This window comes from Homo sapiens, chromosome X (genome assembly GCF_000001405.40).
Source record: "Homo sapiens chromosome X, GRCh38.p14 Primary Assembly".
Classification (NCBI taxonomy): domain Eukaryota; kingdom Metazoa; phylum Chordata; class Mammalia; order Primates; family Hominidae; genus Homo; species Homo sapiens.
This window is the reverse complement of record NC_000023.11, coordinates 106,007,065-106,022,016: the sequence shown is the minus strand read 5'-3', so window position 1 is coordinate 106,022,016 and position 14,952 is coordinate 106,007,065. Positions and strand designations below refer to the sequence as shown.

At 39.2% G+C, this 14,952-nt stretch overlaps 2 long non-coding RNA genes across 5 annotated transcripts in view, besides 2 other annotated features; one reads left to right on the top strand and one right to left on the bottom strand.

The window, feature by feature from the left end:
- Positions 1 to 12,329: 12,329 nt before the first annotated feature.
- Positions 12,330 to 13,902, bottom strand: LOC105373305 (uncharacterized). 3 transcript variants are annotated; one of them, XR_007068302.1, is made up of 3 exons: positions 13,493 to 13,902; positions 12,805 to 12,857; positions 12,330 to 12,654 (listed from the first exon to the last, which is right to left on the bottom strand). It is a non-coding gene; the product is annotated as an uncharacterized LOC105373305 (long non-coding RNA). The 3 variants fall into 3 exon arrangements; XR_938497.3 differs by lacking the exon at positions 12,805 to 12,857 and having other exon boundaries at positions 12,531 to 12,654; positions 13,493 to 13,669; positions 13,753 to 13,902; XR_007068303.1 differs by having other exon boundaries at positions 12,609 to 12,857; positions 13,493 to 13,669; positions 13,753 to 13,902.
- Positions 13,905 to 14,049: an enhancer, noted in NCBI's record as "145 bp enhancer 3 fragment used in the MPRA reporter construct; PK_construct_169". NCBI's record gives its function as "activates an SV40 promoter by MPRA in HepG2 cells {active_cell/tissue: HepG2}" and the evidence as "EXISTENCE:reporter gene assay evidence [ECO:0000049][PMID:23512712]".
- Positions 13,971 to 13,984: a transcriptional cis regulatory region, noted in NCBI's record as "HNF1 motif; enhancer activity is reduced when this motif is scrambled". NCBI's record gives its function as "necessary for full MPRA enhancer 3 activity {active_cell/tissue: HepG2}" and the evidence as "EXISTENCE:site-directed mutagenesis evidence [ECO:0005528][PMID:23512712]".
- Positions 14,100 to 14,952, top strand: part of LOC105373304 (uncharacterized) — a 60,450-nt gene continuing 59,597 nt past the window's right edge. For both annotated transcript variants that reach the window (XR_938495.3, XR_007068301.1), the window contains exon 1: positions 14,100 to 14,238. This is a non-coding gene — a long non-coding RNA (uncharacterized LOC105373304). The remainder of the gene's footprint in view (positions 14,239 to 14,952) is intronic.

The window sequence follows — 14,952 nt, the reverse complement described above, 5'->3', positions numbered from 1 at the left end:
GTTAAGTCTCTTTAGATGAGGACGTTATCCTGGATTATCCAAGTGGGTCCTAAATGCAATTACAAGGGTTCCTTTTAAGAGGGATGCAGAGAGAGATTGGAAGATGCTATCTTGCTGGCTTTGAAGATGGAGAAAGAGCCTCAAAGCCAAATAATGCAGAGGATGCTGTACTAGAAGTTGGAAAAGGCAAGGAAATAGATTCTTTCCAGAGCCTGCAGAGAGAGCACAGCCCTGCTGACATCTTGGTTTCAGTCCAGTAAATCTCCTTTGGATTTCTGTCTTCCAGAATTGTAAGAAAAAATACATTTCAGTTGTTGTAAGCCAATAAGTTTGTGGTAATTTGTTACAGCAGCCATCAGAAACTGATACCGTTCCCACCCAAAAAAATATGACCCAAAATATCACAAGGCCCACATAGTGATTTGCAAAGACCCTAGGTATTCTGACTTCATGGCTATTTTCCTCTATAAAGAAACAATATATATTTTTTGAGAGGGAGTTTTGCTCTGTCACCCAGGCTGGAGTGCAGTGGCGTGATCTTGGCTCACTGCAACCTCCATCTCCTGGGTTCAAGCCATTCTTCTGCCTCAGCCTCCCGAGTAGCTGGGACTACAGGCATACGCCACCACACCCGGCTAATTTTTGTATTTTTAATAGAGATGGGGTTTCACCATATTGGCCAGGCTGGTCTCAAACTCCTGACCTCAGGTGATCCACATGCCTCGGCCTCCAAAAGTGCTGGGATTACAGGCATGAGCCACCACACCCAGCCCATAAAATATATTTTATGACTACATTGATATACAGATGAATATAATCCTGGCTTAATTCACAATTACATGTTTGTTATTATTATGTTCATATTTTTCTTCTGTTTTTAACAGAAGTTAAAATTAAAACCATTTTTTATGGGCTGTTAAGACTCTCATGAGTTCTAGGTCTTGTGAACACTGTACCTAATAAGGTAAGTCAGTACTGCATGTCACTTCTGGACCATGGATTTTATGAAGCTAGTGTGTCATTTCCAGTTTCTCTTTCTTGAAAGAGGTCTCTCCTAAGAAAGTCCAACAATGGAGTCCAGCAATTGGTGGCTGTCTTAGTCTGCTCAGGATGCCAGCAGCATGCACAAGATTTTGTTTTCTCTGAATCATCAGGTGGAAGAAAGTTACCTTCTGTCTGGGAATACCTACATTATATTGTTACATAAGTGAAAAATTAACTTTTGTTGTTCTAAGTGACAGAAATATTGTGGTGTATTTTAAACGACAGCTGACACTATGCTAAGCAATACATAAATTTGGTGTTTTGAAGTGGGATTCACCCATAATTTAAAAACTACATTGTATGGCTTTCCCTTAGTAGTCAATTTGTATGAAGTAAGGAAGCTGACATTGGAAACTGGAGATATGGATACCCAAGTTGTACAGTGGCAAATACTGGATGAATTTATTATCCATGATAATTTGGAAATCAGACAAAAGACCTACTAAGACTGAATCTCTAGGAAGAGAGATTGAATAACAGAATGTTAGTAGTGTGTATCGGTTGTTACTTGCGCATTTAGCAAGGTGTGTCGAAAAAGGGATGCATACAAGCAAGAATTACCTAGTTTGAGATTTAAAACAGAAAGCAATACAGATCAGCAATTGTTGGTTGTCTTAGTCTGCTCAGGATGCCATAATAAAATATTATAGACTGGGTGGCTTAAACCACACAAATGTATTTTCTCACAATTCTGGAGGGCTGAAGTCCCAGATCAAGGTCTGACAGGGTTGATCTTTGGTGAGGACTCCTTTCCTGGCTTGCAGACAGCTGCCTTCTCACTGAGTCCCCACATGGCCTTTTATCTGTGCATGTGCATGGAGAGACATAAAAACTTATTTCTTCCTATTTTCATAAGGCCACCAATCCTATTAGATTAGGATCCCATCATTATGACCTCATTTAATCTTAATTACATCCTAAAATCCCTGTCTCCAAATACAGTCACTTTGGGGCTTAGGATTTCAACATATAAATTTTGTGTGGACACAATTTTGTCCATAGTAGTGGCCTTGCATGATTTAAAATACCAACTATTGCTGTACTCAAAATAGGAAGAACTCAGGCTGAAAAGTTATTTAAGCAAAAAGGCTCAGTAAAGCTCATCAGTTAGAGTGAAAATGGGAGAATACATAACTCCAAAGTTGCATGTCTCCACAAAGGCAGCTAATAAACTGGCAAAACCTGTCACAATCAATTTTTTCTGAACTCTGAAAACTAACCAAAAACCTGTAGCAACTAGGGGAATGCTTACTCAGGAAAAAACCAGTTGAATATGAATGGGAAGAGAGAAGTTTTTGGAATTTAAAGTTACCTTGATGCCATATCCCATTGCTTAGCTAGATGGTGCCATCAAAGACAACAACCTACATTCTAAGAAGAGACACTGGTGGTACCAGAGAGAGCAGAACAGACCTTTTTCTCAAAAGATTGTGGTTGTTTGCTTTGACGTGTTTGGTGGCTGCCCAGAAGATAGGCTAAAAGGCTTGCCTAACTCTCCCACTGCTAAGGTGACTACCCAAGGAACACTTGTTGAAAACATTTAAAGGCAAACACTTTGCCACTGTTGCCTGAGAAAATGGTTAACTGGTGGAGCAAACAATAAACTAACCAAAAAGCTTGGGAAGAGTCTGGGGAATTACATGCTTTGGGAATAAGGACTTTCAAAACTCTGTTATATTCCTAGGAATACATAAGTCCACACATGTGCCCAGGGTTGGTTACATTCTCAGGAAATTCCTGAGGACCTAAACATCAGCTCTAGCTGACCATCCAGCTTTGTGCAAGCAGGAAGTGAAAACTAAAGCAGAGTTGTGAATGGCCAGGCTGGGTATTGAAGACAGGCACCAATATACATGGTGAGCTCATTTGCAAATACTTTTTTTTTCCCCAGGCATATAGAGAAATCTGTGTCCATTTACTAGCTGACTACTAAGCTAATGGAGCAAAGATTTTATTGGTACATGAAAAGAACACAGACTTCACAAAACTAGTTCAGAAAAAGTCATTAAACAAACAAACAATAACAACTACAACAAGCAGCATCTACAAATCATGGAAATTGGAGAATGTATGATGTCTAAAATTGCCACGTTATGATAATTCTCAGGTTTCAACTATATGTATATGCATATAAACATGTATATATGCATATATATACATATAAACATGTATATATGCATATATATACATATAAACATGTATATATGCATATATATACATATAAACATGTATATATGCATATATACATATAAACATGTATATATGCATATATACATATAAATATGTATATATGTATATATGCATATATATGCATATATATACATATATGCATATAAATATGTATATATGCATATATATACATATATATATATGTATGGCAATGAAATAGTAAAATATAGCCAATATGCTATAGACAAAAGAATTACTAGAAACTCTCATTGTGGAACTCAGGCATTAGAATTACAAGACAAAGACTTTGAAATAACTATTTTAAATATACTCAAAGAGCTAAAGGAAACCACATAATAATAACGAAAGAAAACCAAATGATGTCTCATCAATTAGAGAATATCAGTAAGGATATAGAAATTATAAAGGGAAACCAATTAACATTTTGGAGTCAATAAGTACAGTAACTTATATGAAATTTGCTAGCAGATTTGAGAAGGCAGAAAAAATGGCAAACTTAAATATAGGTCAATCAAGAATCAGAAAGTAAAATAATGAATAATGAAGAAAGCCTGAGTCTTTTAGTACATGATCAAGTGTACCAAAATATTTATAATGGGAGTCCTAAAAGAGAGGAGGGAGTAAAAGGGGCAGAAAGAATATTTGAAGATATAATGACAGAAAATTCTTCAATATAATGAAAGATATGACCACACATCTGAAAAGATTAATGAATCCCAAATGGGATAAACTGAAAGAGATCAACAGTGTAATATATTACAGTCAAATTATCAGAAAACAATGACAAAGAGAATCCTGAGAGCAGCATCAGAAAAGCAACTCATCAATTCTAAGGGCTCTTCAATAAGAGTGAGAACAGATTTTTTAACAAAAAACATGGAGGTCAGGAGGCAATGTGATGAGAAGTTCAAAATACCAAAAGACAAAAAATGGTTGACAAATAATCTTATATCCAACAAACTATCCTTCAAAGTGAAGTAAAAATTAAGATAGTACCAGAGAAAAAAAAAACCTGAGGGAGTTTGTTATTAGTGCACCTGCCATACAAGAAATGCTAAACAGCTCAGGTTGAATTTAAAAAAAACATCAGGCAGTAACCATGAATAAATTAAGAACTATTAAAGGTAACCACAAAGGAAAATTAAAAATTCGGTATTAATGTATTTTTGGTTTGTAACTCTTCTGTTTTCCTATATTATTTAAAAGACAACTGCATAAAACAATATTTATAAATCTATGGTGATGGGCACACAATGTATAAAATAAAGATGCAATATGTGGCAATAGTCTTATAAAGTAGGAGACACAGCTATATAGAAATTTTTTTAATTGTAAATATGTTTATATTAATCCAAACTAGATAGTTGTACATTAAGGTGTTAATTGTAATCCAAACAACCACTAAGAAAACAAATAAAATATATAAAGTAAAATAAATTACCAGAGAATTAAAATGATACACTAGAATATAACTGTTTAGCACAAAATAAGGCAATATATGAGCAATTAAGGAGCTAAAAAGCTATAAGACATATAAAAAACAAAAACCATAATGGCAGATTTAAGTTTTTTCTTATTAGTTATCACATTATATAAATGGATTAAAATCTACAATTGAAAGGTAGAGATGGACAGAATGGGTAAAAAATCACAAGCAATCCTTAGGATGTCTATGAAAGACTCAACTTAGATTCAAATACACACATAGTTTGAAAGTAAAAGGGTGGAAAAATCATTTCATGTGAATAGTAACCTGAAGAGAGTGGGTATGACTACAGTATTATCAGATAAGTTAGACATTAAAACAAAAGTTGTTACAAGAGAAAAGGGACATTATATAATAATAAATTGTCAATTCATTAAGAAAGTATATCAATTATAAACATATATATGCACTTAACAAAAGAACTCAAAATATATGTGGCAAGAACAGAATTTAAGGAAGAAATAAACAGTTCAACAATAACACTGGAAAGTTTGATACTCCACCTATAATTCTGAATGAAAGAGCTAGACAAAAGATCAGCAAGTAAATAGAAGATTTTAATAACACTGTAAAGCAGCTAGAACTAACAGACATAAATAGAACACACCACAAAAAACAGCAGAATACACATTCTTCTCAAGCCCTCATACAATATATTCTAGAATAGGTCATGTGTTAAATGACAAGGCAAGTCTCAATAAACTTTAAAAGATTGAAATCATATAAAGTATCTTCTCTTTATATGGAATAAAATTAGAATCAATAACAAAGGGAAATGTGAAAATTAAACATCACACTACTTTTTAAATTTTCATCAACAAAAATATTTATTACAAGATAATTGAGGGAGCTTTTCTGTATCATGAGATTAAAATGATGTTGAGCCAAGAGCAAAATCACCAGCGAAATCATTAAACAATCATTAAATCAAAGACATTTTCAGCTTGCCCAAATGGAACCTTTATTTCCCCAGATTATTTCTGAAAACATTGCTTAAGGAATACATGAGCAAACATAGCTTGAAAATCAAGAATTACGTAGGCATGAAGCGGTTACTCAATTAGAACTTCCATATCATCTGAAATTCCCTTTACTATATGAAATAGGTTGTCAACTAATAATCTTTTGAGGAAAATATGTTTTTCCACAGAATTTGCTTTCAGTGAAGTAGAAGACATTTTTAAATTCTTGTGATTATAGCAGCACAAAACTAGCATGTACATTAGACAGAAAACTTACTTGGGGCATCAGAATTTGGTTTCACATCAATTTGGTTCTGATCAAGGAAGTGGAGCCACTATAAATGATATGGAATAAGGTATTTATTAGAGGGTGTAAAATTTTGAAGTTGATTTAAACAGAAAGATTCTCTGGAACCCTATTGCTTCTGTATTTGCAGGAGGGCCTAAAGTTGCTGTAGAACAGTGGGCTGGTGTCAAGAGAAAAGCCCCAAGTGAAGCAGAGGAGAGTGCAGCCAAAATGGAATCCAAGAAGATAAAATGAAAGCTATATCCTTTGGTCATTCTCTCCAACATCAATAGTGAAGAGTGGACTGTAGTAGCAGGCATTCTTTGCTATGGTGCTATGAAACATCACAGTATTAAACAACCAACTAGTCAAAGCAGAAATCTCAAGAGAAATTAAAAAATATTTTGAGATGGGTGAAAATAAAAAGCACAACATATTAAAATTTATAGGATGCTGCAAAAGCAGTGCTCAGAGTGAAATTTATCAGGCTGTAAACACCATATTGGCAGAATGAGGAATAAAAGCACATTATCATCTCAATGGGTGAAGATAAAGCATTTGACAAAATCCAACAACACCGTCGCATTAAAAATCAGCTAGGAATGAAATGGAATGTTCTCAACCTGATAAGAGGCATTTACTGAAAACCCAAATCTAATACTATGACTAATGATAAAGAACGACAGGATTCCCCATAAGAGCAAGACAAGGATGCCCATTCTCACCACTTCTATTCAACATTTTACTAAAAGTTCTAGCTAAAACAATTAGGCAAGAAAAAAGAAATAAATGGTGTACAGGCTAGAAAGCAAGAAGTAAACTATATTCTTAGATGACATTATCTTATGTTAAAAAAAAACCTAGGGATACACACACACACACACACACACACACACACACACACAGAGAGAGAACCCTAATAGACACCAGAAAGGCTTCAAGATGACTTACTAGTAGTATCTAGTACTCGGTTCCTGTACTAAGAAAAATCAAAATAGTAAATAGAAAATATTACTTTGAATAGATCATACAAGAGAGAATACTAGTGTTCAATAGAAAAGTGACAGGAAATGCCTAAAGCAAAGAAGAGGGAAGTGAGGTAGCCTGCTTGACCAAGATTGGCTCGAACCTGGGATAGACTCCCTAGTCCAGAAAAAAGGTAAGTGAGAGACCCCAGTGGACCACATTCCCACAGTGGAATTGTGCAATCCTAGCCACAGAAGAGTCCCCTTGACCCTTACGGGCCCTGAAACCCTGAAACTAACATAAGGAGTTGCCTAAAGATGGTCCAGTGGCACTGCTCCAGAAAGGGACCTTGCACTGGATCCCAAACACTCTCCAAGTCCTAAACAGCCACAGCAAGGGGCCATTTTGAGAGCACACCCCACAACAGACTGCACATTGTCCTGAGGCCCAGCAGTGCTGGGGCTGAGGCATGAGTGAGGTGCTGGCTGCCATTGCTGGGGCTGAGGCATGAACAGAGTCCACATTCCTTACCTGCTGGCCTAGGCTGCCACCACTAAAGGAGTTCCTTGCCTCCCCAACAGCAGGGATACAGCATAGCCACTGCTGTTCCTAACCTGAGCATTCCACTTGGGGCCTGATGATAGTCCCACTCCTGCACCTGCACACAACATTGAAGGGCCTGAGGGTAAGTCAGCCTGGCCTGGCTCCCCACACCCCCAAAGCCAGAGCAAGCAGTCTGGGGTCCTAGGAGCTGCCCACCCCAGTCCACCACTGCTGGCACCAGAGCAATCCTCCTGGAGGCCTGAGGTTGGGCTTACCCACCTGGCCATTATCACCTCAAGGGCACCTGCCAGCAGGTGCCACACGTGGGCCTGGAGACTGGCCTGCCTAGCACATCACAGCCACTGCCAACACCACCACATACCACTCAGGACCTAGATGATTATCCTGCCACTGCTACTGTCATTGCCTACACCATACCAGCTTCCCAAGGGCCCAAGAACCCACCCATCCACCCAGCCCACCACTGCCACTACCAGCATCCAAGAAGTTACAAGTATCATCCCATCTACACTTGGTGATACTGGTGCCAGTATATGCTGCCCTAGGGCCCAAGGACAGGTATGGTCAGTGCACTGTGGCTACCACTGTGGCCTGAAGACTGGCTGTATTAGTTTGTTTTCACACTGCTAATAAAGACATACCTGAAACTGGGTAATTTATAAAGGAAAGAGTTTAATTGACTAACAGTTCAGCATGGCTGGGGAGGCCTCAGGAAACTTAAAATCATGGTGGAAGGGGAAGCAAACATGTTCTTCTTCACATGGTGGAAGCAAGGAGAAGTGCCAAGTAAAAGGAGGGAAAAATTCACTTATAAAACCACCAGATCTTGTGTGAACTCACTCACTATCATGAGAACAGCAGCATGGGGGTAACCTCCCCCATGATTCAATTACCTCTCTGGGTCCCTCCCACAATACGTGGGGATTATGCAATTCAAGATAGATTTGGGTTGGGACACAGCCAAACCATATTATTCTGTCCCTGGTTCCTCCCAAATCTCATGTTCTCACATTTCAAAACACAATTATGCCCTCCAAGAGTCCCCCAAAGTTTTAATTCATTCCAGCATTAACCCAAAACTCAACTCCAAAGTCTCATCTGAAACAAGGCAAGTCCCTTTTGCCTATGAGCCTGTAAAATCAAAAGCATGTTAGTTACCTCCTAGATACAATGGAGGTACGGACATTTGGTAAATATGCTCATTCCAAATGGGAGAAATTGGCCAAAACAAAGGGGCTATAGGCTTCATGCAAGTTCAAAATCCAATAGGGCGGCCATTAAACCTTAAAGTTCCAAAATGTTCTGTTTTGACTCCATGTCTCACATCCAGGTCATGCTGATGCAAGAACTGGGTTCTGATGGTCTTGGACAGCTCCACCCCTGTGGCTTTGCAGGCTACAACCCCCTCCAGGATGATTTCGTGGGCTGGCATTGAGTGTCTGCGGCTTTTCCAGGCACATGATGCATGATTTCGGTGGATCTGAAGGATGATGGCTCTTTTCTCACAGCTTCACTAGGCAGTGCCCCAGTGGGGGCTCCATGTGAGGGCTCTGATCCCACATTTCCCTTCTCCACTGCCATAGCAGAGGTTCTCCATGAGGGCTCCACAACATGGCAGAAGTCCAGCAAACTTCTGCCTGGACATCCACGTGTTTCCATACATCCTCTGAAATCAAGGTGGAGGTTCCCACACCTTAATTCTTGTGTTCTGCAGACCCACAAGACAAACACCACATGGGAGCTGCCAAGGCTTGAGGCTTGCACCCTCTGAAGCAATGGCCCGAGCTGTACCTTGGCCCCTTTTAGCCACAGCTGGAGCTGAAGCAGCTGGATCGCAAAGCACCATATCCTGAGGCTGCACAGAGTAGGGGGCCCTGGGCCCAGACCAGGAAACCATTTTTCCCTCCTAGGCCTCTGAGCCTGTGATGGAAGGTGCTGCCACAAAGTTCTCTCACATGCCCTGGAGACGTTTTTCCTCTTGCCTTGGGGATTAACATTCAGCTCCTTGTTACTTATGCAAATTTCTGCAGCAGGCTTCAATTTCTCACCAGAAAACGGGTTTTTATTTTCTAATGCATTGGTGGGCTGCAAATTTTCCATACTTTTATGCTCTGCTTCCTTCTGAATGCATTGCTGCTTAGAAATTTCTTCCCCTAGATACCCTAAATCATCTCTCTCAAGTTCAAAGTTCCACAGATCTCTAGGGCAGGGGCAAATGACACCAGTCTCCTTGCCAAAGCATGAAAAGAGTCACCTTTGCTCCAGTTCCCAACAAGTTCCTCATCTCCATCTGAGACCACCTCAGCCTGGACTTTATTGTCCATATCACTATCAGCATTTTGGTCAAAGCTATTCAACAAGTCTCTAGAATGTTCCAAACTTTCCCACATCTTCCTGTCTTCTTCTGTGCCCTCTAAACTGTTCCAACCTCTGCCTGTTACCCAGTTCCAAAATTGCTTCCACATTTTCAGGCATCTTTACAGCAGCACCCCACTCTGTGGTACAAATTTACTGTGTTAGTCCGTTCTCATGCTGCTAATAAAGACATACCTAATTTATAAAGGAAAGAGGTTTAATTGACTGACAGTTCAGCATGGCTGAGGAGGACTCAAGAAATTTACAATCATAGTGGAAGGGGAAGCAACCACGTCCTTCTTCATATGATGGCAGGAAGGAGAGGTACAGAGCTAAAGGGGCCCCTTATAAAACCATCAGACCTTGTGAGAACTCACTCACTATCACAAGAACTGCAGAATGGGGGTACCCTCACCATGATTCCATTACCTCCCACTGGGTCCCTCCCTCAACATGTGGGGATTATGGGAACGACAATTCAAGATGAGATTTGGATGGGGACACAATCAAACCATATCACTGGCCCAACTGGCATCCCAGTCTTCAGCAGAACTTCACCACAGCCTCCACTATTAAAACAATTGAAGAAATCACAGGTACTAGTAATGCTGTTTACAGCCAAAGTAATCATACAGAGATTACACTACTGCACTCATCCAGAATCAAAGCCAAAGTGCCCTACCCAACCAATAAAATCAATACATCTTCAGGAAAAAGCCCTTCCCAAGAAAGCAGATTCAAAATACTGGAATAAGTGACTATTATACCAGATACACAGATATCGATATACGGACACAGAAAATATGAAAGAAATGAGAAAATATGATGCCCTCAAAGGAATATAGTAATTCTCCAGTAACAGACCCCAGTCAAAACAAATCTAAGAAATCCTGGAAAAAGAATTCAAAATATTGATTTTTAGGAAGCTCAGTGAGATACAGGAGAATACTGAAAAACAATACAAAGAAATCAGAAAGACAATTCAAGATATGAATGAGAAATTTATCAAATAGATATCATAAAAAGAAGCAAATAGAAATTCTGAAACAATAATTCATTTAATGAAATATAAAATACATTTGAAAGCTTCAACAATAAGGCAGATTAAGCAGAAGAAAGACTCTCAGAACTTTAAGATATGTCAGAGATAAATAAAGAAATATTACAGAGAAAAATAAAGAAAAAAGGAATGAACAAAGCCTACATGATATGTGGGACTCCAGAAAGCAACTAAATATTCGAATTTTCAGAGTCACACAAAAATTCAAGCTAAATAGAAAATGTTCAGAATGAAATAGTCTGTGAATAAAAAATGCTTATTAAGACTTGTCAGTTAAAAAGATGGACTTAGTCCTTCAGCAGATATCAGATTAAGGTTCTTTCCTTCTCACTTGATCCAACTGGTTCAAATGGCCTCCATTAAGAAAAGAGAGAGCAATAGGATGAGAAAGCAAAGAAATAAGGCAGACAATAATTTTGTCAAGGAAAAAAGTGGGGTTAGGTTACTGGCACACAGAAATGGTTGAATATAAATTAACTGAAAGCTTACTGAATTTGAAATAATTGTACTGCCAAAGAAACCACAAAGGAAGTCTACAAGAGCCCACCACTGTATAGTAATGCCCTGGCCTCTAAACCTGAACCAGCAGAAAGATGGCTGTGGAAAATTATGTATCCACTAAGGAGGAAAAGCTCCCCCAAACCCACCTGAGATATAATCATGGAAAGGAATGGACAAGAAAGTTTCCCACAGAGAGAAGAATCAGGATCTAATCAGAGAGTCTCCCCAACCGCCCTGGCAGGCTGTCTTCAGAATGTATCTGACCAGTAAGATTCCGTTATTGCCATGGGCCACCAATCATTGTAACTTTCCTTCTGTTTTTTAATGGGAGTTTTTTACTGGGTTTTTTCTGTATCTATTCCACCATCATGCATTGAGGATTTGAGGGAGACAGATAACTTTTATCTCAATAGGAGCCTGATAGATACTGAGCTGGATGTAGTAACTAGATAGAACTTTGGCTTATCTCCCTTGGGAAGAGAGTGAGTGTATTCTAAGTATGAGAAGAAATGTGCATACAGATCTTTGGTGGCCAGAGGAGCAAACAAAGATAAATGTCCTCTAAAGATCTATGCCCTGCCCTCCATTGGATAAAATTGTTAAGAAACAGCTGGCTATCCAGGGACTATATTTTCCAGATATTTGACAGATATTTGTGGCTTGTTCTTAAAAATGTAATATGAGTAGAAGTGATCTGTGTTACTATGAGCCAAGAGGCCGATATGCTCTTTCCATTATCTCTTTTCTCCTTTTGCCATTTGGAAGTGGGGTCACTCGAGACCCTGAGGGTATGGAGGAATCACAAGACATAGAAGAGCTGGGACCTCTGAATTACTATGTGGAGGAAATCACATATCTATCACAAACAACTACTTTGGACTCTCGTGAGAATGAAATAAACTTCTGATGTATTAAGCCATGAAAACATTCAGTTTTATTTGATAAAACAGTAAGTGGGCTGGGCATGATGGCTGATGCCGGTAATCCCAACACTTCGGGAGGCCAAGGTGAGAAGATCACTTGAGGCCAGGAGTTTGAGACCAACCTGGGAAACACAGGGAGACCCCCGTCTCTACAATTCTTTTTTTTCAAATAGCTAGGCATGGTGGCACATACCTACAGTCTCAGCTACTCTGGAGGCTGAGGCGAGAGGATCACTTGAGCACAGGAGTTCAAGGTTACAGTGAGCCATGGTCGTACCACTGCACTTCAGCCTGGGCAATAGAGGGAGGCCCCGTCTCTAAAAAACAAACAAAATAAAAACCAGTTAGCATTACCCTTATCTAAAAATGTACCAATACTTTGTACATATGAGGAAATAAAGGCTCAGGGGGGTAAGGATCTTTTACAGAGGTACATGGCTATTTAGGGGTGAAACCAGGATATTTACCCAGGCTGTCTCACTCTTGGGCCTCTGGTTTTGGCTAGGATCTTACTTGCCTCCTGGAAAACGGTAGGAACAAAGGCAATGAAAGCAGCACTGGCCTCTTTCTTTTTTTCTTTTTTAGACTTAGGATTTCTTTTCTATTAATTTTTATTTTTATTTTAAGTTCTGAGGTACATGTACAGGATGTCCAGGTTTGTTACACAGGTAAACGTGTGCCATGATGGTTTGCTGCACCTGTCCATGCATCACCTAGGTATTAAGCCCACTACGCAAGAACTATTTTTCCTGATACTCTCCCTCCCCTTGCACCCCACAACAGGCCCCAGTGTATGTTGTTCTCCTCTCTATGTTCATGTGTTCTCATTGTTCAGCTCCCACTTATAAGTAAGAACGTGCGGTGTTTGCTTTTCTCTTCCTGCATTAGTTTGCTGAGGATAATGGCTTCCAGCTCCATCCATGTCCCTACAAAGGACATGATCTCATTTCTTTTTATGGCTACAAAGTATTCCATGCTGTATATGTACCACATTTTCTTTATGCAGTCTATCATTTATGGGCATTTGTGTTGATGTTGATTCCATGTCTTTACTACTGTGAATGCACTGGCCTCTTTCTGAAGTTACATCCTGCTGCAGCAGGAAACCGCCTACAAGGTAAATAGTAAACAATAAACAAAAGCAGAAAGTTTTACCAGTTTTTAAGAAGGAGCCACAAGTTTCCAAGAAGCCAGTTGGAAAGTTGAAACTGGATATTAGAGTCCTAACATCTCCATGACGAGCGGGGCATCGCAAATCCTCTTGATGACACATTCATTTATTCACATCCAATAAACATCAATGGAGGGCCTACCATATGCCAGGGTGTGTTCCTGTAAAACAAAACAAAAATCCTCATGGAGCCTACATATTAAGTGAGGGGAGATAGACAGTAAACTAAATAAGTAGAATATACCAGATGTTACAAGGTGATAAGTACTATGGAGAATAATAAAGCAGGGCAGAAAGAAAGTACAGCAGTTCAGCTATAATTGTTCCTTTCTGCAGGCTGGAGAAACAAGGGTTACTCTTTCTGTTTGATGCACCTCACTTCCCAGAACCTAGATGAAACGCCCCCACAAGAGGTCTAAGTTGATTTTTGCTACCCCTATCACTTGTTTGTCTTATGTCCCTGCAAATGATTAACTTTGCAAGGTGAGATTTTGCAAGGGCTTGTCTGAGCATGCATCCTCCTCCCCCCACCCAGTTGTGGCAACTGTCTTATCTGCTTTCCATTTTGCTAATACCTAAACAACAGGCCTTCTCTTTGCTGACTGTGGGCCTACCATAGGAACAACTATCTGTGATGTTGCTCCACCTATTTCCTGACTTCTGTCTCAGTCTCTTCCTATGTTTTCAAGGAGCAAGACTAGCATCACAAGCGTGAGTTTTGGAGTCAAAGGTACCTGAGTTCATACCTTGGTTCTACCACTTACTGGCTATGGGAACTCTGACAAATTACTTAATGCCTGAGTAGTATGAAATGGGTATAATGCTAAAGAAACATTCTGGAGTGTGACGTAGATTAAGGAGTTGGCATCAGAATGTAAATCAATGAAACTCTTCTCAATCAGGACATTCAAGGGATCAGATCTGCCAATAATTAAAGTTTGGGTATACCACTGAGCAATGAACCACTACTGAGATACTGGTGAAAAGAAAAGCAGATATTAAGTGAAGAGTGGAGGAAGGAAGTCATAAATGCTAAATATGACCTCAAGACCTGCTACAGTACTGAGAACTTTGGTCTTCACAAACTTGTCCTTCCTTCATGGTCATGGATATATACCTATATATTTTAATTAATATGTATTCTATTTTTCCTAATCTGTACATAAGTTGTGATTATGGTGGCTAAATTTAGTCCACAGATTGAAGAGTATCAAAACATAATCACAATGGATCTAGAGGGGGTATGAATATTACCCACAGATCCAGGAATTAAAGCTCAATGAAGTGACCAATGAGTTATTGGGAAGTGGCAGGATTTGTTTTGGGTTGTCCATGAAATAACTGTATATTTTTAGGCAGGAGCATTTTTCAGAGACAGTCTATGGGAGGAAGGTGTGTAGATAATGGGCAGCTGTAAGCATGGGTTCTAGTTGACATGTATGGC